Below are 24,738 nucleotides of genomic sequence, written 5' to 3'. Positions count from 1 at the left end.
TGAACTCATGGTAGCTCCCAGTATTAGAACAAAGTTGGGGTTCAGCAAGTAAGGAAAAATCAGGGTAGAATAGTGGGAGGAGGAGGATTTAGGTAGAAAATTAGCAGTGTCTGTCACACTGTTTTCTCTATAATTTATCTCCCTTTTCATTCCATTATATCAGCTAGAGAAGCTATAAGGATTCTCAGAAATGACCTAACCAATGCTCTTCCAGTTCTTTTGCAGTGGAAACTTTTCTTCAAATGAAATCACACAGAGAACCTCAAAATCAGAAGGCACTAAGAAAACGAAAGGGTAGCTACTTTGGTTGAAACAGATGAGTGTTGCTTGGGTCCTAACAAATTAGGAAACCATTACCCTAAAGTAATAGTCTACCAAACCAATATAATTATGTCAACTTAAATGTTGTTCTTGAAAAATCTTTCCATGCTACTAACATTCTTTTTTAAGACCTCAAAAATGTCCTAAAAATAGATGTTTGTCAGACACATGGGCACTTCAGTTTATTTTCTTACTCAAATGCAACATTTTTTCTTTTTCAGGGCATATAAGATAAACTAACCCATCAGGAAGAGATACTATAACAATTAATGTTTTTCTAGTTTAATTCTTGTTTTTACCTAGGCCTGAGCATCCCACCAAGCCTTCTGATGTTTGGCCTGTGTACTTAATTTCCAAACCACCAGAATCACATTAAAATTCCTAAGCATTTGTGATTGGATGACTTGATTGACTAGCAGAATGTAACTGGGCAAGAAACTGAGTTGGAAGTTGATTTTGTTTTCTTTTCACACCAAACTCTCAGCTACTGGGCAGACAGATCATGCATCTTTCTTTACCCATTGTCCCAGAAGTTTTTTATGCCAACCATTCAGTTCCAGTCGCTCCAGTGCACTCCCAGAGGTACAAATGCCACCAGCTGAGAATGTCAGAAGAGGAAATCCAAGCCTGATTGTACTCTTGAGCTTTACAGAAAACATTTAGCAACTTGGAAAGACCTCAAGAAAATGTGTCCTAACCCTTCCACATTCCATCCACTGCTTTACCATGGTACAAATACATACACTGCAAAACCTTGCCCCTGCAAATACACACTGTAATCCACAAAACTGTGCCCTTGTGCACACACAGTCAGAAACAGAGAATTTCCTCTGCATAGGAATTCTGAAAACAAAGACCAGAGTCTGAGGTTTTCAGCACAAGGACTCCACCAGGATTAGCACAGATGCCTGGGAAAGAAAGGAGCTCAGTCTGGCAAAACACTCCCCACAAACTTAACTGAGCATCACTAGTGGAAGGAGAGGAATACACCCAAGACACACGAATGCCACAATGTCTCACTGGATATTTTCTAGTTCTAAAGATCAGGCTTTAGTTGAGTGATGCTGGTGCACACAGGCTTGCATTTTTTATGTTACCTGTTAGCGTTTCTTGGCTTTGTTCTAATCTTAGGCCTATGGCACAACTGAGGCCAGTTACCTAGAAAAAGTATCTGAAGAGGACTAGGTAAGAAGTGGGCATAGGTGAGCACTGGAAAAAGAAATTCAAACCCTTAAAATACTCTATTTCTTGAGCAATGTCTTTGTTATAAAGAAGGTCATGGTGGAAAAATGAGAATCACAATTTGTCTTAGTCTGTTTGTGCTGCTATAACAGAATACCACAGAGGAGAATTTACAAAAAAACAAAAACAAAGACAAAACAAAACAAAAAAAAACAGAGATATTTGTCTCATGGTTCTGGAGCCTGGGAAGTCCAAGACTGAAGGGTCACATCTGGTGAGGGTCTTCTTCCTGTGTCATAACATGACAGAACGCATCACACAGCCAACACACGAAACACAGAGGAAATCAAGCCAAGTTCATCCTTTTATCCTGAGCCCACCCCCGTGATAACTAACCCACTCTCATGATAAGGGCGCTAATGCTTTCAGAAAGTTGAAGCTCTCATGACCTAATCACCTCTTAAAGGTTCTGCCTCATAATACCATCACAATGGCAATTACATTTCAACATGAGTTTTGGAGGGGACATTCAAACTACTGCACACTTTGACCTGCTTTTTCTAGACTATTGAAGAATTGCCAAGCTGGTTTCAGCATTTTCAGTGGCATTTATGTATGTTGGAGATATACAACTCATCTAAAAATCATACGATAACATTTAGAAAAGTGCTTTGTAAGCTAGGAGGGTGATTTTCTTGTTATTTGTCTAAACTCCTCATTTCTAGAGTCCAGTCAAAACCGGGAGGTTGAGTGATTTGCCCTGAGTCACATGGTTTTCAGTCTCTTGGCTCTCAGTCCAGTCACCACAAAGCAGACAGCTCTAAAAAAAAGTACCCAGAGCAGATTTTCTTAGGGTAACTAACTTCACCAAATATATTATTATGCATATAATATCAGGAGTTACAAACTTTCTGGAAACCAACATCATTAACTCTAGTAAGTCATGGTTGGGAGTTCTTTGGAATGGTCCTTTTCCTGTGGATTGAATTATTCAGGCGGTTTTGGAACTCATAGAGCTATTAAGTAAATATATATAAAATCTGCCTTTTATGCCTAGTCAGCCTCTGCATGACTTTTCTTCTAAGACAAAAGGAACAATAGTAGTCACATGCTGGTGATGAATATATGACCCAGAGCATGAGGAAGCTTGTTAGTGTTTTCCTTTCTAGGACATTTAATTCACTGTGTGTCATTACATCCCCAGGCACTCTTGGCTATGCCAATGTTATGGTCATCTTGGTGCCTGGCTATCAGGTGTGGGGTGACAAGTATGGGGAGCAATGTCAGCTTGAGCAAAGAGGATGAGTCACAGAGAAACTAAAGCCCTGTGCTACTCCATAGTTTGTGTTGAGGAGAGTGATAATAGGGCAGCAGGGTATAATTTCTAATCAATGGCAGGCCTACTTTTTGGAGAAAACTTCTTTGATTTTGTAATATTTGAATAAGAATTAATTGAGGTGGGACATTTGGCCGCTAGTTTCACTGCTCCCTGGTATGAACCTGGTATGAATTGAATATGACCATATTTTTGACCTGTTATTTCTTGGTTTAATTCAATCAGTCATTCAGGACATAGGATTCTATTTCCCAGGGACTTGCACATGTTTTTAGTAAAGGGCCACATAAGTAAATATTTTGGGCTTTGTGGGCAAAATGTCCTCTGCTGGCAATACTCAACATTGCCATTGTAGTATGAAAATAGCCATGGACAATTTGCTGGAAAACAAAACAAAAAAAAAGGCAGGTGGGCATTGCTTTGTTTCAGTAAAACTTTATTTACAAAAACAGGAAGCTGGTTGGATTTGGTCCATGGGGGCATAGTTTGCTGACCTCTGTTTTCATAGTTCTGAAGTTTCTAAACTCACTCTAGAAAGTGAAGGCAGGTCTTAAGGGGCTCTGGGAAGCTTTCAGCTGGAAGAAAACCATGTCCAGATGGAATAAGAAGGCAGGGTTTCACATGAATTCTAGATGAATTCTAGCCATCTTTAGGAGTCTGGGTGGAAAAGATTTGGGAATTCTGATTAACATTAATTGTCTACTGAGGCTTCCCTAGAAAGATTGAAAATTCTCTGTGTGGGATAATTGGTTGAACTGATCCTCTCATCACATTCTATGCATTCTTTTCACTAAGGAGAGTAGAGATCAGTTGGAGGGAGTTTTCTCTATTACCTCCAACCCACTGCCATCTTGAAAAAACAGAACCTCACTTGTCATGGTTACAGACGCCAAAGAACATGTATTTTGAATTTATACCTCAGTGTGTGATAAATATGATTTTGGTCAGTGCAACGTAACTTGAAGACATAGAGACATATGGTTTGAGCTCGTGCTGTGTGTGTGTGTGTGTGTGTGTGTGTGTCTGTGTCTGTGTGTATAACATAAAACAATACCATCTGACTAAACAGTAGGCTTTGCGCCAGATGCCAATCTGACTGAGACAGGCACACAAGCGAACAAAGCTAACCTCAGCCTCCACTTCCTCTTCCCCCAAGAATCTATTAAAAGACTGAAAAGGGCTGTTTAGCATCAGAGAGTGGGACATGATGCTAAAGTGCACATTCTCCAGTGTCAGAAGCAGCAGCAGCTGCAGCCAAGTTTCAATGACAGTCACCCGCTCTGCTATGCCTCAGCACATCCCAGAACCCAGAGGAGGAAACTGTAGCCCTTCCCGGATGTGGGGATTGGAGCAGGAAGGGAAACAACACACATATTATAGAGCCATACAAGACAGCTGCAAGGAGGCGAAAACTGTGCTACTCTGATGGCAGAGGACAACTGCAGTCCATTGGTGGAAAACTTTTCACTTTTTCTCTCAAGTCAAACTTAGGAAAAATAAGTGAGGTGACAGAGAAGCAAGCAGTCTTTGATCCATGTTGTAGGAAAGGCAAAAGGCCCGGGGACTCTGAAGCTTGCTAGTTCTTCCAAATGTTTGCCTATAGTGAATTGTTTATCAAGTGAATAGTATTTTTTACATTAAATATAGAATCTTTCAAGCATAGAAGAATTACTAAAATAACAAACACCTGTGTATCCACTGTGCATATTTTTGATACTAAGACATCTGCCATATGTGTGTCATTTTTTAAAGAAAGATTTTTTTTTTTTTTTTTGATGGAATCTAGTTCTGTCGCCCAGGCTGGAGTGCGGTGGCACGATCTTGGCTGGCTGCAACCTCTGCCTCCTGGGTTCAAACGATTCTCCTGCCTCACCCTCCCAAGTAGCTGGGATTACAGGCATGCACCACCACACCCAGCTAATTTTGTATTTTTAGTAGAGACAAGGTTTCTCCATGTTGGTGAGGCTGGTCTCGAACTCCCAACCTCAGGTGATCCACACACCTCGGCCTCCCAAAGTGCTGGGATTACAGGCATAAGCCACTGTGCCCAGCCAAGAAAGAAAATTTTAAAGAAATAAAATGTTACAGATACAGTTGAAGCCCCCTATGTATCACTCTCTTCTCTCATTTCCTTCACTGTGTTTTTGGAGGTAACTCCAGTAATTTCTGAATTTTAATGCATGTTTTTCTTAAGCGTATTTTATGCTGTTTATATATATATTTATATATACATACATATATACACACATCCCACATACATACATGTTATATACATAATATAAAAAATAATATATAGACTTATTTTGCACATTTCCAACTTTTATAAAAATAGTGTTATGGTAACTTTTGGTACCTTTTGTTCTACAGAAGTTTTAACTTTCATTTAGTAAAATTTGGCCACATTTTCTTTTCATGATTTGTGCATTTTTGTCTTTTTAAAGACTCCTTCCCTATCTGTATTAGGCTGTTTCTGCATTGCTATAAAGCATTATGTAAGCCTGGGTAATTTATAAAGGAGAGGTATAATTGGCTCATGGTTCTGCAGGCTGTACAGGAAGCATGGCACAGCATCTGCTTAGCTTCTGGTGAGGCCTCAGGAAACTTTTATGGCAGAAAGTGAAGCAGGAGCAGGCATGTCACATGGTGAGAGGGAGCGAGAGTGAGGGGAGAGGTGCCACACACTTCAACAACCAGATCTCATGTGAAATTAGAGAGAGAACTCTAATTTGTGCGAAGACAGCACCAACCCCCATTCATGAGGGATCTGCCCCCATGACCAGGCATCTCCCACCAGGCCCTACCTCCAACACTGGGGATTACATTTCACCATGAGACTCAAAAGGAGCAAACGTCTAAATTGTATCACTCTCCTAAAGTCATATCGTATTTTCTTATAAATTTTTTTCTGTTCAAGTCTTCACATCACCTGGCATTGATTTCCTCAGATCCAAATTAGGGAGGCTTATTTTATTTTATAATGTCTATCTGTCCTATGACTGTTTATTAAATTGTCCTTCCTTTCCCCACTGACCTATAAAGCCACCTCCATAAACTTGCAATCCTTCCTTGTGTAGCATGTCCTCCTTTACTTGAGGAGAAGGGTCTGAGAGTATCATCCAGCACCTCACCGTGAGGCTCTCTGGTGGCCTAAGAAGGGGCTCCCATGCCGCCCAAGTCAGCAGCAGAGAGAAACTTGAACACTGGAGGGAATCTCTCCTTGTGCATTTACGACTTGTGATCAAACTCGGGAGATAACTTTTTGACTCAAGACCTTTTGATAATTATAAGGGAATTAGTCATGCCAGCCTCATACTCTATAGTCATGAGCTCCAGCCTTCATAAGATCAGAATGAATCACAGCCAAGGTACAGTCCATGCCCAGCAGTTCTTCACAGACTACAGCCAAGCATCAAATTTCATATATTCCAGGTTTAAGAAATGTGATTAGTTGACCTACAATAAACACACTTTACCACTTAGGGGTATTTTTCTCTGTTTCCTGTAAACTGTGATACATGTGCATTATAAACCTCATACATTATTAACAGAGTTTGTTTTCTTAAAAAAAATCTTGGCAGAATACTATTGGAATTAAACCAATTCAACTTTCTGGACTTTAAGATGGCACAGATCCAGACTGAGATTCAGAAATAAAAAAACAATAACAATCATCAGTTATTTTAATTAACAACCACCACCACAATAAATCAGTTATTTGAAGAAAATCTTCACAAATAGCCTTATGGTAGAGATTTCTGTTGATGGAAATAGTACGGAAATGCCAACAAATGAAAGGGGAAAATAATCTGACTTTTACTGAACATTTAGTAGGAATAAGTCACCACAGAAAGCCCTTTTACATATGCTGTGCCATTTAAAACTTACACAGCCCTCAAAAACGCTATTAAAATTCCCACTTTAAGGATGAGAAGCTGAAGTTTAAAAAACTTGATAAACCTGTCAAGGGTACAGAACTGGTAAGTGATAGGTCAGGGATTCAAACTCAGATCGAATTGGCCAGTGCTCATCCATTTTTTAACGTGGCTACTGGTTCTAGCACTTGGGTGTGTTGCTGTAAGAATAATCATTCTAAGGGCCACAGGAATCAAGGTTAAGCTCAGGACGGGAAGTGTTTGGCATCTCCAAGGCTGTCCCGAGTCTGCTTTGGAGTAGACCCAACCTATGGCTGACCCCAGAACCACTCAGCCTGTGAGAACCAAACAATCTTCACCTAGAACTGCAGCATCGCATCGTCAGATGATCTCGAAGCTGGGTCAATCGGATTCTATGTCACAAGCCTCATGTTACAAGTCTCCAAAATCCCTAAGACAAGATATTTATTGGGATACAGGATGTTTGGTAATCCCAATAAAGATAAAATGTTATGTTAGCAATTATTGCAGAATACCTCCTACAGGTATGAGTCAGCAACTCATGACCTTGCAATTACATTGATATTTCTGCTGTGAAACAAATGAATATTCATACTAAATAAAGAAAAACAAGGTAATACATAGGCCTGTCAGTTCAGAGAAGATTTTGCCTCTAAATGAGTTACAAATACTTTTGGATTTAGATTCTTGGGGATTTCAGAATTGTATATAAAGAATTGTGTATCTGTGTTGTTGTAAGTGTATGCTTCTGGGAAACTATAGTTTCTGTTTGGAGAGGAATAAAAGATTAAGGAGACATGAACTCTGAATACTACTTTGCTGTTGATAAAACTATTTTCATATGTTATTTCACCCTTAGAGTAACCATGTGAGAGACTTTTATTCTATGTTATTGAAGAAGCTGGTCAAACTCAGAGCTTGAGAAACTTGCAGAGGGTCAAAAAGCCAGGAAATAATAAGACTGCAAACATTTATATCCTTTGACATCTATAGGGAATCTGATACTAGGTCCTACTTCCAATTGAACCTCTTTCTACTGTAGAAACTTCCAAGCCACTAAACCTCACTAACGTTTGGCTTTCTTGTCTATAACCTGGGGATAATTATCTTTTCTGTCTAGTTCAAAAGATTTTAGTGGGAAACAGATTATATTGTACTAGAAAAGATATTATTATTATAATACACCTGCATTTGTTTGGCTTAGAGCCCACATGGGGCTTTGTCAGGACAGACAGCATTGTCTGTATTTCCTGGTGAGCTTGTCAAAACTCCTCGTAGGATGACCAGAAGGGGACCTGTCCTCTCCTGCCGAGCCTAAGCACACAGCCACAGCTGCAAAGCCCTCACTTTTTAAAAAAAACTTTCAGCTGATCTCTGAGCACATTCCATTCTCATGATGTGCAAATTTTAAAGGACATTTGCCTCCAAGCAAGTTGGAAGAAAAAAAATGGAACATCTTTTTCAGTCTTTGGACCTCAAAATACATAATTCAGGTAATAAAAATATCATATCACATGTTTTATTGTTTATTTCCATATAATACAGAGATGCATATTTGGAAGGAAGTTATCTTCCTTTTCATTGCAGTTTTTTCAGGACCTCACTAAGAAGCAGCAATGCCGAAATCTGCTTTATTGGAAAACTCTTGGAGAATGTGTCCGGAAAAATGTGCTAAAGGGCATTGTTATGCCCGAGATTCAGTTAAAATAAAGGCCAAACCAGTTCCTACTCATATATCTTGTAGGCCACCACTTATACTATGATATTAAAGGACAATTTAGGCATAGCTCCATTTTCATAACACCAGCATGATGGAAATATTGTAATACATTTGTTATTTCCTCATTTGTTATTTCCTTTCTTCTAATCTTACACACAAATATACATCAAATTTCATGTAAGTGAATATATATATATAATTTTAAGTGTGGATAAGTGTTTATTGCATATATGTGTATTTGCATGTACATATATTAGTGTACACATTCTCTATAAGTGGTCATTTATTCAGCAAACATATATTAATTACCTCATGTGAATATCTATGAGGCACTGGAGATAACAACAACAAAGCAAGTATAACCTAGTCCCTAATCTCTAGCAGAAGGACATTCATGGAAATGAATAATTTGATTAGTGCAGTATGAGAAAATTATCAGTTTTATTGAGAGTCCAAGGTAATTGTATAGGACAGTGTATATATCTCTTCAATTATATATAAATCTCCTAGAAGCTAGGACTGTAGAGATACTACTTTGCATTTTGCCGACAGATAGAATATTGTTTTGTACATAGTGTATGCTTAGTTCATATTTAATTCATTAATATGGTTTTCTTTCAATAATCTGAAAAGTATTACTCCAGAGTAGTGACCAAACTTTGCATGTGAAGGTCATACTTGCTGGAGTGATTTCTGCATAGGACCCTCACAAATCAATGCTTTTTTTTTGGCCCAGACTTCACTGACACTAAGTTGTCTTTCTTTTCATTTATTTATAAGGTATTAAATTCTAAAAACAAAACAAAAGAAAACAAAAACAGCACTGAATCACACCTACAGGGCTAAACAAATGAAAAAAAAATGAGATGAGTTATATACATATATATGGGGTTTCAAAATGATTTGGTCATTTCTTTGCTAGCACTCTCACTTTTCAAGCCAGCCTTTTTGTCTTTAGAGCTGAATATATTAAGTCTTTTCTCTGCGGTTATTGGAGTTTCTGGTAGAAGATAAGACGGAAACAGAGGTTGTAACTCTTTAAACATGTTGATTGGAGATTATCTGTGGATTTTAGTGAACCTTGGGTAACGGATGTTGGCTCTTATGGCTGAGACAAAAGATGCTGGGAATGTTCCCTAGATGGGATAAAAGAGAGAAATTCTTCCCTAAAGTATTAAGTTCATGGCTTAGGCTTCTCCGAGCATTTTTTGTTGGCAAGGTTGTGTTTAAGTCCAGAGACAGAGTTGTCACGATTAATTTCTATTTATGAGGCATTCCAAATATATTGTAGTGTAAAAATAATAACCAAAATTGTTATTTTCAGGTATGTGAGCTGTAAAGCTGACACTTCAGCCCTCTGGCTATTTTTCAAGACATTACCTAATACATTACCTCATAATGATGACTAGAGGGAAACATTTTCGAAAGCACAGTCATAAAGTGCTTCGATAAAGCCCACCCTAGGTCTCATAGCAAAACCTAGACATTAATACCTCCTAATAGGAGTTAGGGGGCACAGCTATCTCTGTTCACTCATAGTACTATCATTTATGTCCCTCAAGATTCTCTGTTTCACTTTGGGACAGAAATCCTGGCAGGTAGGCTATGTGACATAAATTGCACCTAATTCTACTCCAGGAAGAAAAGAACTATAAGTACCCTATAAGTAGCTGTAACAGACAAAACTCTGTCTCCCTATTCATTTTTATGCAGTGGGAAAAATTATCAGCCAATAAAGCCTTACTTTTGCAATTGTGCCTCTCAGAGTCCTGTCCCTTAGGAAGGGGCAGGGTTGGGACATATAGGCACAGAATGGGGACAGCGGTCTACCAAAGCACCACTGGGAACCTGCAAAAGGCTGCACTGCTACACTTCTGCCAGAACCAGATATAAAAGACTGAAGAGTGGCTCAGGAACTGTCACTGGCAAGGGCTGGTTGCAGAGCTCATTTTTCATTTGCACTCAGAGATGAAAAACTAGCTTTCTCATCCCCAGGGCATCTGCAAGCAACATCTCAATTACCTCATTTCTCTCCTTTTTATCCTACCTCTCACGCCTCTGTCCTTGCCATTTCCTATTCAGAGCTCCTGAAAGATCATCCAAGATGGTGGCTCTTGATTCTGGTTATGCATTAGACTCACTTAGGGAGCTTTGAAAAGAATGCCGACCCCTGGGCCTCACTGGTTATCACTTCTAATTCAGATGACTCGAGCATTGTTGGCATGTTCACAAAACCCACCAGTTAATTGCAACATACACTCACGGTTAACAGCCATTGACTTAAGACGTTAGGGATTTTTTTGGTAGGTAATGAGTAGCTAGTAATGTTTCTGTGACAAAGTAAATCTGGTGACATTTTGGTGGGTATATTGGAACAGGGAGAGACTGCAGGTGGAAACCATGGATCCATCAATTCTATCAGCATTCAAAGGGTGATCATTCATGGTGGCTGGAGTGTCATTCTCTGTGAAATGACTCCACTCAAAATCTTTGCTTAAATCAATGTTGTGCTTTGAATAATTGACCGAAGAATTTGGATTCTATTTGGTAAGCAGTAAGCAGCTACTGAATATTTCTTAAGCAAGAATAAATACAGATAATGCAGTATTTTAGGAAGACAAATGTGATGACTGGGTAGGGGATGGATTAAAGGGAGGGAAATTATCCCTTTAAGTAATTCCAGCATTGCAGAGGAGACTGGTCTGTCAGTGCATAAATTAGAGAAAAATCTCAAGAGAGACTTCTGAGCTTCCAAAAGATGGAGGTTATAAAAGAAGAGGGTTTAAGGTCTTTAGGTGCCTCAACTACTCCATCTTATTTCTATCCTGATTGCATCCTCTTAGAGACGCTGTCTAAATAATAAGCCAGTCTTACTGATAAATTGCAGCACCAGCCTTATAGGTTAATTGTAGCTGGAAAGTTAGTAGTCATCCTTCAATGACAGCTCCTCAAGAGAGTTGTAGGTCTCTACTGATGGGGGTCTGCTTGACCTTCAGGCATGTCATACTATTGGTGGCAGTAGTTATTCTTACAGCCAAGTAAGGGATCAAAGCCTTTTTTTCTTTAGCAGAAGCTCACATTCAAATGTGCAAAGAATCCTCTAGAACATGAGGAAAGTAGATTTGCCCCACAACTTACATTATCCTCATTCAACAAAAATTTACCGAGTGCCTACTGTGTGTTTGGCCCTATCTCAGACTCACTCCTAAGGGCTCTCATGGTGTGGAGAGAATACCAGGTCTACTATCACCATTTCCCTAACCCACAGATGACAGGTACCTGGCTTACGTGCCTCTGCTCTCAGCTCCCAAGTCCCTGTGGTCATGGCACATCTTCCCACTCGGCCTAGTCATGGCTCACAGTCCTCCCCTGCCCAGAACCGCAGGCAATCCCACATACACTGCCTACAGGGAGCCTATGAGCTGTTGCTTCTTGTTGCTTATTTGCATGTCTGCCTTGAAACAAGTTGTCTTCTTCCCAGCATCAGAATGCCAGTTCCAGAGAAATATCATTCATTAAAAATTTACACTGTCATTCAATTTTAAAGTTCTCCCTTGGTTAAGCCTCCTTCAAGCTAGGAAACTTACAGTGCAAAAGAGAGGTGTATTCAATCCTCTCTTCTGATAACCCTACCACATACCCAGAGTTTATCTCAGTTGTAATGCATAGGATATGAAAGGGTCTTTTGTGACTGAGAATGCTATAACCTTTCACTGGAGACTTCTGGATGTAATCATATCCAATGATGAGTCTCACCTGGGCATTTTTATAACTTTTCCCACCTGCTGAGACCCCTCAAGCTTTGAGCAATCTAGCCTTAGGTCTCCTCACCTCTGCAGAATCCCTCTCAAAGGCACCCCTTTTATGGGCTGGATCTGGACCAAATGAAAATTTTCCCTTTGCCTTTCTAAACTGTGGAAGTGCAGGCTTGTCCCAAATCAGACCTGTCCCTTCTCTCTGCCACCAAGCAACAGAAACTTCATATACAGCCTCATGCATTGACCTTCTTTCAGGGATGAGCCAGATTCCTGTCCTTGCATCTTCTAGGTGTTCATAGGTCCTTCCCTCAGGGTTCTTCCTGGAGCCATCCCTCCTTTGGATTGAGGGGAGGACTCCTTAGATGCTTCACGAGTGGAGAGGGATGGGTGACCAACACAGCAACAACTCTCTCTCTAAAGAAATCTAATCATCAGTCTATCCCCAGGATGAGTTCTTGGCCACATCTTCTGTAGTCTGGAGGTGGAGGATGAGCTATCTTTGGCAGAATAGCCAACATAATCTCTAAGTGTGTCCCACTTAGGTGGTAGAGCATCTTCTTTAAGCTGTGGGAGAAACTACTGCAGTTTTTGTTGTTGTTGAAAATCCAAGGCAACAGGAAAAGTCAAATTTAATGTCCAATTACATGTCTAATTTTTTATGAATTAAAAATCATATGGAATTTGTAAGTTATACATCTGTAGTCCCTCATGTGAAACTTCTTGGGGTAGATAAGTCTCATAACTCACAATTTTTCAGATTTTAGAAAGGAAATATAGTACATCTATCATAGAGTATGCCACGGCCCCCAGTATTTTAGGGTCAGCACCACCTAACAAAATTCAGCAACATATGCACATAGTCACCCAAAGTGAGATCAATAAAGATAAGAAATGGCCTCTTATTAGTTCCGGTCAAGGTCAGCCACCAAATAACTTGCTGCTTGGATGAAATAAGTAGTAGTAGGAGATATACTCTGGTTTCTCTCTTCTTTCTGTTCTCCAGGCTTCTACTGATGGCTCCTACTGGCCACGAACCAGCAGGTGAGAAAGCCTCGGAAATACAGTGTGTGGAATAAGCCTCCCAAGGACACAGAGAGGAGGAGGGAAGGGCTAGAAATGGGTGTGAGACAAGCACGTCTGGGACTGACACACTTACCTTTTTTGCTCAGGCCACTCCTTCAGAGGTCACTGATTTATTACCCCTCCTTCTTCCCTTTATGTCACTGCCGTTTCTTCTCAGCTAGCTCTAAATAGAACCAGCATTGAGTTGAAAACCAGACTATCTGGGCTCTGTTTAGAAGTCTCCCATTATCTTTTAATATATATAGAGTTCCCAAAATGTGAGAGAGCTTTTGGGAAGTGCATATAACAATTTTATATCATAAGAAAAGCCAGAGAGTTGAATCTATGTTGTTCAAGTACAGCTGTCTTTCTCAAGGTTTGACCCAAAGATTCAGGGTCAACAAGAACGAAGGATGTGTATTAGGTAATAACTGGTGATTTAAAGATTACAGGAATGAAAGTATTAAGACTTGTATATGATTTGGGTCCTTTTAAGCCTTTTTTAATATGACAAGGACCAACAAAAACACTAAAGAATGCATATCCATACCTCGTCCTTCCAGTGAAGGAAGAGATCATGTTGGTTCTTCAGTGTTTGCTTTTCTAATCTGACATGAAAGACAAATACAGAGCTGACTGGTGAAGGGCTAAGCTAATTTCCATTAAAAGGCATGTATCATTTTGTTATACAGAATAATTGCTTTTCTTGCTCCTGAGTGCAAATGTTTGAGAGAGGATGGGGTAGAAAGGAGAGAGAGGAAAGTCAACATAGGCTCAACTGGGGGAGACCAAGTTTAAATGTGTGCGGAGCCATACTTAGGAGAGTGATTCTGCTATATGAACTCTTGAGAGAGAAAGGGGAAAACAGTTTTTAGGAGGTTTTGCTATGTGTTGTGAATGGCAGACCTCTTTGCTGCCTCTCTATAGACGTCACTATGGTTTAAATTGCTTTTCAATACCTTTTTGGAGGTCAGGTAGGTGTTTCTTTTATGTAGGACTCTTGCTGAGGTAGGTCACAGAGAGGCCCAGTTTTACTAGGGTTATATTTTTATAGCATCTTTTTAAAGTGCTCTTTAGTGCTGCTGTTTAACTTTATTAAATAATTCTTCTTTTGAGTTTTAAATGATGAGTAAAAAGGCTGTTAATCTTTTTCTCAGTTAACCCAGGCTCTGTTGGAATCCTGGCAATTCCAACTTGTAGACAGAACTAAAGCAAAATACCTAAGAGGAAAAAGGCAGCCTTTGAGCCTTGATCTTGGAAACCCAAATGTTCAAGATTGCAACATGAAGTATCCCAACAAAATGCATTTTGTTTTCTAGTTTCTGAACTTCCTGTGTTCTTAACTTGGAAACAGACACGCTGAGGTTTTACAGGCCATTCCCAGGGATGCATTTCAGTAAAACTTCTCCATTGTGTGTGATGAGGTATGTGAACAATTCCAGCATCAACGCCCATTAATTTCCCATGCCCTTCCCTGCAGGGCTGTTAGGTCCCAGCCCCAAGTCCCGTCACAGAGAGGGCACTGCACCTGGACCCTCTCTGCAACATTCACCACATTGCATCTTTGACATGCGTGTCTTTGTTCTGTCTGAACATGTAGCACATCCTCACCTTTTTCGGCAATTTCAAAACCTGGATGTTAGTTTCCCGTTCCTTTTCCAATTCTCTTTGTTTATAGGAAAGCATTTCTGGTTACTTTCTAGACTTTGATTACTGGCTAAAGGATGATCAGTTCTCCTGGCAAATTTGAACAGTTGTCTGTGTTTACATCTGTTCCTTATCAGGAGCACCCTGTACTAGACTGGATGTTGGCATGCTGCAGACTTCCTTCTCTTTGGCCAAGTGCCTATTTTAAAACAGTACAACCTCCAAGATTTTCCTCGAGGTCATTATCAACACCTCCCAACAGCATGAGGGCAGGAGGGTGGGAGAGATTTCTTTCTGCTGGGTTTACTTCCCCAATACATGGGAGGCTTTTTCCCCTTTCTTTGAAAATAGTTTGAAGTATCTGTATCATCGCTTTCATTGTCTTGCACCAATGCTTTGTCTTGGATTGATTTATCAGTCTCTGCCTTGTTCTTTTCATTGTCTATGCATAAGACCCTGGCAGCATAGCTGCCCTAATAATTCTCTTCTTGATATTGCCATGCTTTTCAAACATGTTGTCCCAAATGTGCTCCTAAAGGAAGGTAGGCTCAACCTCTGTGTATGTTTGTGTTGATGATTTTGCAGCTGAACAAACAAACATCTGAGGTGCTTGATGAATAGTACCAATTAAAAAGTATCTACCAACAAGGCATATTATTTAAAGACAAAATTTTGTGCATGGATGGACTATGCGGAATTTTCATAATTATTCATTTTCCAGTTATCAGTTATAGAGAACGTGTGCAATTTAGCAAGCCCCCAAGTTTGTCAAGTTTGAACACTTACCTTCAGAAGCAGTAGTGCAGAATAGAAAGTACATGGACTCCAGACCAGACAAACTTGGATCCAAATCCTGGTTCTACCATATAAGAGCTCTCAGGGCCTCATCTCTCCATTTATAAAATAGGAACTATATTTATTATGCAAGATTGCAGTTAAGATACATCCCTATATAAAAAGTGCTTGGAAAATACTAGGTACCCCCCAAATGGTAGCCACTTTAACTTTATTATTGATTTTCCTGAAAATGCCCTTAGTCTGCCTCACTCAGGTGCTCTCACTGGCATGATTAGCTATTATTCTCGTATTTCATAAACCACATTTGGCTTTAATGAAACCATACATATGTCCATCTGGAAAGTAAGTTCAAAAAATAAATATAACTCCACAAAATGATGAAATAGCCTCTTGGGAAGACCAAAACACTCACAGACTGAGGATTTTTAGGTAGGTCAGAGAAATTTTGCCTAGGAGTAAACAATCAATGCCTACTTTTTCATTAAATTCCAGGAAAACTATATCAATATGTCTAGAGTCTATATTTCTAAGCTTCCATTTTTGCAATTCCTTCACGGTAAACTTCATTGTACTCAATTTATCTCCCTAGAAAACCAATGTTGTTCTGGGATATGATTGGCCTCAAGGAACATTTCATTATCTGACTCAATTCTCAAAAGTTTTCTAAGATACTTTGTGAATGGGATTTAAATAATTTGTTTTATTTTAAAGAAAAGGATCATTTCTCAGGAAACATAGTCATTCCTGCCTCTTAGATTTAAAAAAAAGATATAAATGGGATGGGGTCTTTCAATCTGACAGTGGAGAAAACCCTTATAGAACTTGCCACTCCTAGGAATTCCCATGGGGCAAATGGTTTCATCTAAACATTGATCTGATCCCAGTGAACCAGAGAAAAATTTTTGAGCCAAAAAAGCCTTCTATAAAAATTGTAACAGAAAATTAAGTGTTTTGAGTCATAATGAGGATATCCACAAACAATTTCTGGCAATTCTGTTATTTAATAAATTTGTATCTTACAATTAATCCAAAGTATGTATAAAAAGTTACCATGCATATGAAAAAACAAGAATAACTATTTATCCAAAACTATTTTGCATGTTTAAAATAAATCTTTTGAATCAATCACTCTTTTGATGCTTTATTATGCATAGGACTAGAGTGGAGCATTATTTTAATTAATTCATCATTGTTACATCCAAGATCATTTGTTATTTTCGTAGTACCTTCTGTATTTCCACTAAGTACTTTAAACTACTTCACCACATTTTAATGACAAGTCATATGAAAGTCCCTTGACATATGGCCTCTAATATGATCTCTAGCCTAGTATTTCCAAATGATCTGAATTTTGTTACTATGAGATTTCTAATGAAAGGTAGAATTCTTTCAACTGATAGAATTAATTTTTAGACTCAAACCATCCTGTAGGCTCCCCAGGCAAAAGGTAGCTTCATCATTGGTTAGAGTAAGGAAAAAGAGATTGCTGGAGAAATGTGGGGTAAGACTGATGCTGAAGTCAGGCAGAGGTTGGGCCCTGGGTACCTGAGAAAAGCATAGCTGCGTCAAGGATCATCAACTTTGACATTTACTACCTGTTTCCTCCAGAAGGTGGTGCTTGTCAGTCACGCCTGGATGGTTGTGAGACTGGAATAGATCCTGATTCTTCATGTTTCTTAATTCTGTGAGAATCTTTCCTCGTGAAAAGAAGCCACAGAATGTAGAAGCATTACTATATCGGCAACAAAGCATGTTTTAGCACATCTACGACTTCTACATGATATGCATTGTAGGAGTTCATGGTAAAGGAATGGTTGAGGTTACAGCAGAAAATTCACAGAATCATAAAATGTTCAACTAACAAAACTTCAAAGGTCATCAGTTGTAAGAGTTCTTAACAACCCCCTACGAGGTGTGTGAATTGATTTTAGAACATCTGTAAACTTCTAGAAGTCGCCTGCAAATTTCATGTTGTATTTATCCATGAGGGTTCACAGTTTTCATTATATTCCCAAAGGTCCCCCAAAATAAATAAGATTTAGTAACATTCATTTTGCAAAGGAGGAAGCTGAGGCATGGCATGGTTAAGCAACTTGCTTATGTCTCCTTCAGAATATCAGTGGTGGTGCTGGTGATGGAGTCCTATTTTCCTGAGCAATGCTGCATCTACACAAAATTCCAACAAAATTTCTTCATTTTTGGAAATAGAAGTGTTTACAAGGTACTCTGCTAAGTTTGTTTCTGAATCATGTCCAAATAACTGTAAGTTTGGTTAAATACTCAAAGCTATTAGCATTACACTAATGATTTTGAAAATGCTTGTTTGACCAAATGTTTCCGTTTTGATTGATTATGTTGGTATTATCCAGACATATACAAATAACAGCACACTCCCATGACCATGATCCTGTAAATATTCTGGCATCTCCCCCATTAGCAATAAAATGATTCAGCACAAATATGCAGCATAAAAGGGAGAAAAATGGGAAACATGTGTCTGAGTTCTCCACGTGAAATCTGGAGTCATTAAGGGAATGATTTGTATTCTGCACCCTAAGCATGCAGTAAGTTAGCAACCATGGAATCCAGCAAAGTCAAAAGGAACAGTAAGATTGCGAGGGATATTTCCAAAGGAGAGAAAACCACAATTCTTGTTTTGAAACCAAAATAACTCAAAGGCTAAAACCAGTTTGAAAACATTTATACAAGACAAATGCAAAATCTCGTACTCTTGTGATATGATGTGGTTTCTAAAGATTTAGGGTAGGATGGTAAAAAGACAAATATGCTGAGAAAACCTACAGACTAATAATTGCTAAATAACAGTTTTTGTTTTGTTTTTTGTGTTTGTTTTGTTTTTGATTTTTCTTGTTTAAAACGGAGTTTCGCTCTGTCGCCAGGCTGGAGTGCAGTGGCACGATCTTGGCTTACTGCATCCTCCACCTCCCGGGTTCAAGCGATTTTCCTGCCTTAGCCTCCTGAGTAGCTGGGATTACAGGTGCATGGCACCACACCCAGCTAATTTTTTGTATTTTAAGTAGAGACAGGATTTTGCCATGTTGGGCAGCCTGGTCTTGAACTCCTGACCTCAGGTGATCCACCCTCCTTGGCCTCCCAAAGTGCTGGGATTACAGGTGTGAGCCACTGCACCTGGCCACAAAACAGTTAATGAAACAAACAACATCAATAGCAAAAAATGAAAAATAAAAAAAATAGCACTAAAGATCGCAAACAGGTACCATAGAATAACAATTATTATTAGCCTGGATAGGGTTCACATCCTTTCCCAACCTCTGCTTGAGCCTTTCATTTTGCCTATCACCAAGAAAGGTTAAAAGTCAATTTTTCATGAGAAAACAGAGATCAAAAAAGAAGCTAAATTTCCCATGGTGGCTGCACGAAGAGGAGCCTGGGAGTGTGGGCCTACATGATAGTACAGGCTTCATGTTATGTCAGGACATGGAGCCTCAAGATAGTAGGGGTAGATGTCAGGCATAAAATAATCCTATGGGGTAGAAGAAAGTCTCTGGGGGTGGTGGTGTTAGAAAATAGGAAAAGATGAGAAGTAGTTGGAAGCTGTTTCCTCTAAATGTTGAGGAAGAGGTGAGGGCAGAAAATGATCAAGGCTTCAAGAAAGACTTACACAAGCAAAATGACAATAGACACTATTTTCTAAAAACAATGTCCAGGTAGCTTTGGTATTCATGACATTGAAACAGCATGTGTGACCTATTTTCACAATGGGCCACTTTGCATTCAATGTGATGGGTGTACTTGTCATTGTACTTACCACAAAAGGAGGTGTTCAACACTCAGTGAACAACATCTTCATGTTGGTGATGAGGGCTGGGACTAGAAGAAGGTAATATGTGGAAGACAAAGGCTAGGTGTTCCACCCCTTAAACCTTACATCAAGGTCAATTGCAAGTTTCAGTGCTTGGTAATAGCAGGAAGTGAGTCCAATTAGTTAATCCCTTCTGTATTTGGGATGGCTGCAATCTACATTAGTCAACTTGGGAAACAAACTAGCCTTACTCTTCATGCTTGTGAAGGTGTGAAGCACAACACTGATTGTCCACACTCGGTGATTTCCACAGTCATGAGGGAATAGGCTCAATCCTGCCATATACAGGCAGAATCCTTGGTTGCTCTGTTTCCTTTTTCCTTCCAGGTCATGAAAGTTTTTGCTTTAGTAATTTGCTTAACTAAGGAAATCTTTGAATCAGAGATTACCACATGAAATCTTCAGATTGTATTTCCATGGAAATGGCTAGGAAGGAAGACCTTTATTATAGAGTAAGTATATTGGCTTGTCATTTAGTGAAAGAGGTCCCCAGTCTTTTGTGGCCAGCTGTCCAGAACATATCCTTCCCGTGGGGCATTCACACTTAATTGTTAGAAGTGGGTTTTAATTACTTGCCACTTTGCTCTAACTCCATTAAGGTCTATTGTATGGTGGACAGTGGGCATTATTTACTCACTGCTCACGAGCCAGTGGCCATAGTTAAATTTCACTTAGATTTGCTTGTGTGTGATGTGTCAGTCATGATCAATATTCTAGAACTTCTACCAAATCAGAAACCCATTTCACTGCTTGGGAATTATGTTGATAGTCATACTTCCTGGCCATCAGGTACCATATTTTTTCTTTCAAAACTTCCTGAAGATGTCCCAGTCTTGGGCAGTTTTTCTGCCTTCAACAATCCTGCCATGAAAATGCATCTGGTGAAATGCTGTTTCACAATGTGGTTTGTGAATAATTTGCCTCAGAGTACATCACTCAGTAATCTCCAGCCCAGAGTAACAGGAAACCCAGCACCCCTCCTTGAAGGGTACCCCTCCTCTCCAGTATTTCTAGGAATTCCCCTAGGATGCTTATACTTGTGCAAAGGGATGGTCCTTTTTGCTCCCAACTGCCCTGGACTGTGACTCCCACACACTGTCTTCAGGATGGGAACATCATAACCAATTCTACAGACCAGCTGTAACAGACTGGATCCCACCCCTTTCATCATGACTGTTGCTGGCAAAGCCAGAAACCTGCTGAGCATCTAAAGACCCAGACAAAAGAGATCTGCTGCTGCTATTCAAGCAGCATGTTCTGCATGTCATTCATATCTGAAGCAGGATTGCTTGAGTCTGAAACTCATATTTTAGTCACTTCCACTAGTGCAGGACTTTGGCCCTGGAGATTTTAATACTTGAAATGTCATCTAAGGGCATCTCATTCTAAGACAGCCTCTTCTACAAAAGTCTTTATATTCACAGAAACCCTTTCTGATAACATAAATAAAACTAGGTCAGGTTCTGGTATTCAGACACTCATAACATAGATCTAACTCTATTTTTTTCTTGCCATCAAGAAAATTTTATCTTTGGAGCTTTTGTTGTCCTTCCCAGCCACTGGGCATCGGCAAAGACCACCCTGACAGGTCACAGTAGCTTTGAAAATTGAGCAGAAATTTCAGATGGCCTGTGATCTTGCATACATTTGCCCAAGCTCTCTCTAACCACAATACAAGCTTGTATATCAATAGTTGTTTTCTTATCCATCCTTCCCCCCAAAATTCCCTTCACTAGATACTCCACTACTCTAAGTATAGCATAGCCATATGAACATTAGAATTAGGAAATCCTGAATTAGCATATGACCATCATTCCAGATATGTGTCATTAAGGAAGTTACTGAGCCTTTTAGACTTGAGCTTTTTTTTATCTGTACACTGAAAATAATAAAAGGGATAATAACCTTATGGGATTGTTAGTGAGATTCAAGTTAGTTAATAATGTGAAGAGTTTAGAGCTGCATTTGGCACATAGTAAGTATAGAACAAAAGGTAGCTATAACAAATGTCTGCTGTAAGTTAAAGTTGTGGTCTACTCAGGCATAAATGAGGCTCTCAGAGCTGTGGGGGGTTGCATCTGTTCTGCCTCTCTCCAGCAACATAATCTAGACCACAGTTGGCAGGTGGAGTTCTCTTATTCCTGATACCTATCTATAATAATGCTTGGCATGCTCCTTAAGTAAGGACTTTGTGAAGATAGAAACATTATTAGCTGAAAACCACTGGACCCACCTAATGGAATGAAAATTATATATAGGTTATAAGTATCAAGTGTAGAGATAACAGTGTAACTACACAGTTAACTCAGATATAATAAGACACATTAAGCATGGGGCTGTGAAATCCAGTCTTTTCTCACTAAAGAAACTGCAGAATTGGTTTTCTTTTTCTTTTGTCGAGTATTTTTATCTTTTTTTTACTTAAAGTGTTTTACTCTTTTACATTTTTTAAATTATAAAATAGATGCTCCTTGTAAAAAAAATTATTAGCCTATGATTATCGAAAAAAAGATTCTTATATAGTTAAAATTTTAAAATCTCAAAATGTGAAATTTTATAGAAGAGAAAAATAAAAGTCCCTATGACTCTTTTTCCTATTCTTTATCATCTCACTTCTGAGAAGTTGACATTGAAAATAGTTTGGTATATGGACATCTACACATATAAATATATGAACATACATACATATGAGTATACAGTGATGTGTTACTTAACAATGGGGATACTTGATACTTTTGGAGAAACAGATCATAGGTGATTTCATTGTGCAAACATCAGAGTACACTTACGCAAACCTAGCTGGTATAGCCTACTACACACCTACAATAGATGGGATAGCCTATTGTTCCTAGGCTACACACCTGTACAGCATGTTACGTATTAAATACTGTAGGCAATTGTAACACAGTGGTACTTGTGTATTTAAACATATCTAAATACAGAAAAGGTACAGTAAAACTATCGTATTATAATCTTATTTATTTATTTATTTATTTATTTTGCGACAGAGCCTCTCTGTGTCGCCCAGGCTGGAGTGCAGTGGCGCTATCTTGGCTCACTGCAATCTCTGCCTCCTGAGTTCAAGCGATTCTCGTGCCTCAGCGCCATGAGTAGCTGGGATTACAGGCCTGTGCCACCATGATCCACTAATTTTCTTATTGTATATTTTAGTAGAGTTGGGGTTTCGCCATGTTGGCCAGGCTGGTCTCAAACTCCTGGCCTCAAGTGATCAGCCCACCTCGGCCTCCCAAGGTGCTGGGATTACAGCACCCGGCCCAGTATTATAATCTTACATGACCACTATCATCTATGCAGTCCATCGTTGACCAAAATGTCATTATGCAGAGCATGTGTGTATGTATTTTTTTTTTTTTTTAACAAAATCATCTCATACTATGTGCTGTTCTATGACTTGCTTTTTCCCTTCACAATATATTTTGGGCACCTATTTATATCCGTATGTTTAGGTTTTCTTAATTCTTAATCACGAATAATTTAGATATAGTTCATTAACCTCTTAGCTAATGCATGCATTTTCTTTAGGCTTTATTAATGCACAGTGTTATTTATAAATTTTAAGTCTTTCTTAAAAGACTTAAGCAATGTATCTTGTTTTTATTGAAGAGCAAGGCCATGCAATTTTAGTGTTTTTTTGTTGATTTGTATTTCTTTCCATTCTCATATCTTCTGCCCAAATTCCTACAGAGTAATTTTCCTTATTCTTATTGATTTACATGAAAGTTTTTGTGTATTAAATTAATCTTTTCCGTCATATATGTAACGACTCTATTTTTTCTTTGCCATTGATATTATTGTTTCACTTTGTTTATAATGCTTTGCATTAAACATAAGTGTTTGAAACAAACTTGTCTAGATTTTAGTTTGTTACTTACAGATTTTTGTTATACTGAGAAATGTCTTTCCTAGTCCAAGATTACCGAAAAAGTTTTTTCTTTGGTTATTTTACATTTAAAAAATATTTAAACCTTTAATCCGTGTAGAATTTATTATGAAGTAAAGAGTAAGTGCGTTTTGTCCAAATAGCTACACGTATGAACCAACAACATGTACTAAATAGTACATCTTTCCCCAACAGTTTGACAACCCCATTTTAACACACAAAACTTTCAGTTTTTCTAGGAATGTATTTCTGGCTCTTATAGATTCCTCCATTGATTTCCTTGTCTATTCTTGTACCGCCATTTTGAACATTGCTTTTTGAAGCATTTTAATATGTTGCATATTTTTTCTCCCTTGTTAGATGTTTTCATATTTTTCCTCACTTTACACAAGTGTATTCATTCCTTCAAACAAATTTTAATAGCGTTTTTGTAAAAGGTAATTTGATTACTTTTAATTAAGATTGCAAAGAATTACAACATTATTTTAAGGTGAATTCACATCTTTATGATGTTGAGTGATTTTTTTAAAATCAAGATTGTATGCTTTTCTATTTACTATCTAAATGTGACTCAGAAAAATATAAGTATTTCCCTTTATATATATCCTTCACATTTCTTGTTGATTTCTTGATATTTTAATATTTTGCTGTTATTGTGAATGGGATCTTATATTTAATTTTATTTCTTACTATTTATTTTTGATATAAGGATAGTTGTTCATTATACTTTTTTAAACTGCCACCCTGAATGATTTCTTCTCTTTTCTCTGTTTTCTAATGCTTCTTTCAGGTATAAAATAATAATACTTGCTAGAATGTAGGTGGTGGGCATGCAGGTGCTCATTGTACAAGTTTTGCAAATTTTCTTTAGGTTTGAAATTGTTCATAATAGAACGTGGGGGTGATACTATTTTTTCCGAGTACACTAGGCCACACTTTGGATATTTCCTTATAACCCACCTATAATTGTATGGTTACATGAGATATTACTCAGTTCTGTTCTTATTTGGCCAAATACTTATTAGCTTTCTCATTACATTTTCTTATCCTTTATATTTCTAATCCCTTTTCTCCTTTTTTTAAAATCAGAGTGATGGCTAATTAAGACTAGGCTTATTTTATTATGTGCTATATTGAGAAATTTTGAAAAAAAATTTGATTTTAACTAACTTTAACATCATTTATTATTTGTATTATTCAGTGTTATTATCATTTGCAAGCACATGCTGCACAAGGTCCCTGCTCTGGAGATGATATTAAACCTCACATTTAATTA

General features: G+C 38.4%; 1 annotated feature.

Moving 5' to 3' along the window:
• Positions 6,763–7,962: an enhancer, noted in NCBI's record as "CDK7 strongly-dependent group 2 enhancer chr2:151476766-151477965 (GRCh37/hg19 assembly coordinates)". NCBI's record gives its function as "activates an origin of replication core promoter dependent on BRD2, BRD4, P300/CBP, MED14 and CDK7 cofactors, with strong dependence on CDK7, by STARR-seq in HCT116 cells {active_cell/tissue: HCT116}" and the evidence as "EXISTENCE:reporter gene assay evidence [ECO:0000049][PMID:35650434]".

This window comes from Homo sapiens, chromosome 2 (genome assembly GCF_000001405.40).
Source record: "Homo sapiens chromosome 2, GRCh38.p14 Primary Assembly".
NCBI lineage: Eukaryota > Metazoa > Chordata > Mammalia > Primates > Hominidae > Homo > Homo sapiens.
The sequence above is the reverse complement of the archived record's forward strand: the minus strand, read 5'-3'. Positions and strand labels throughout refer to the sequence as shown.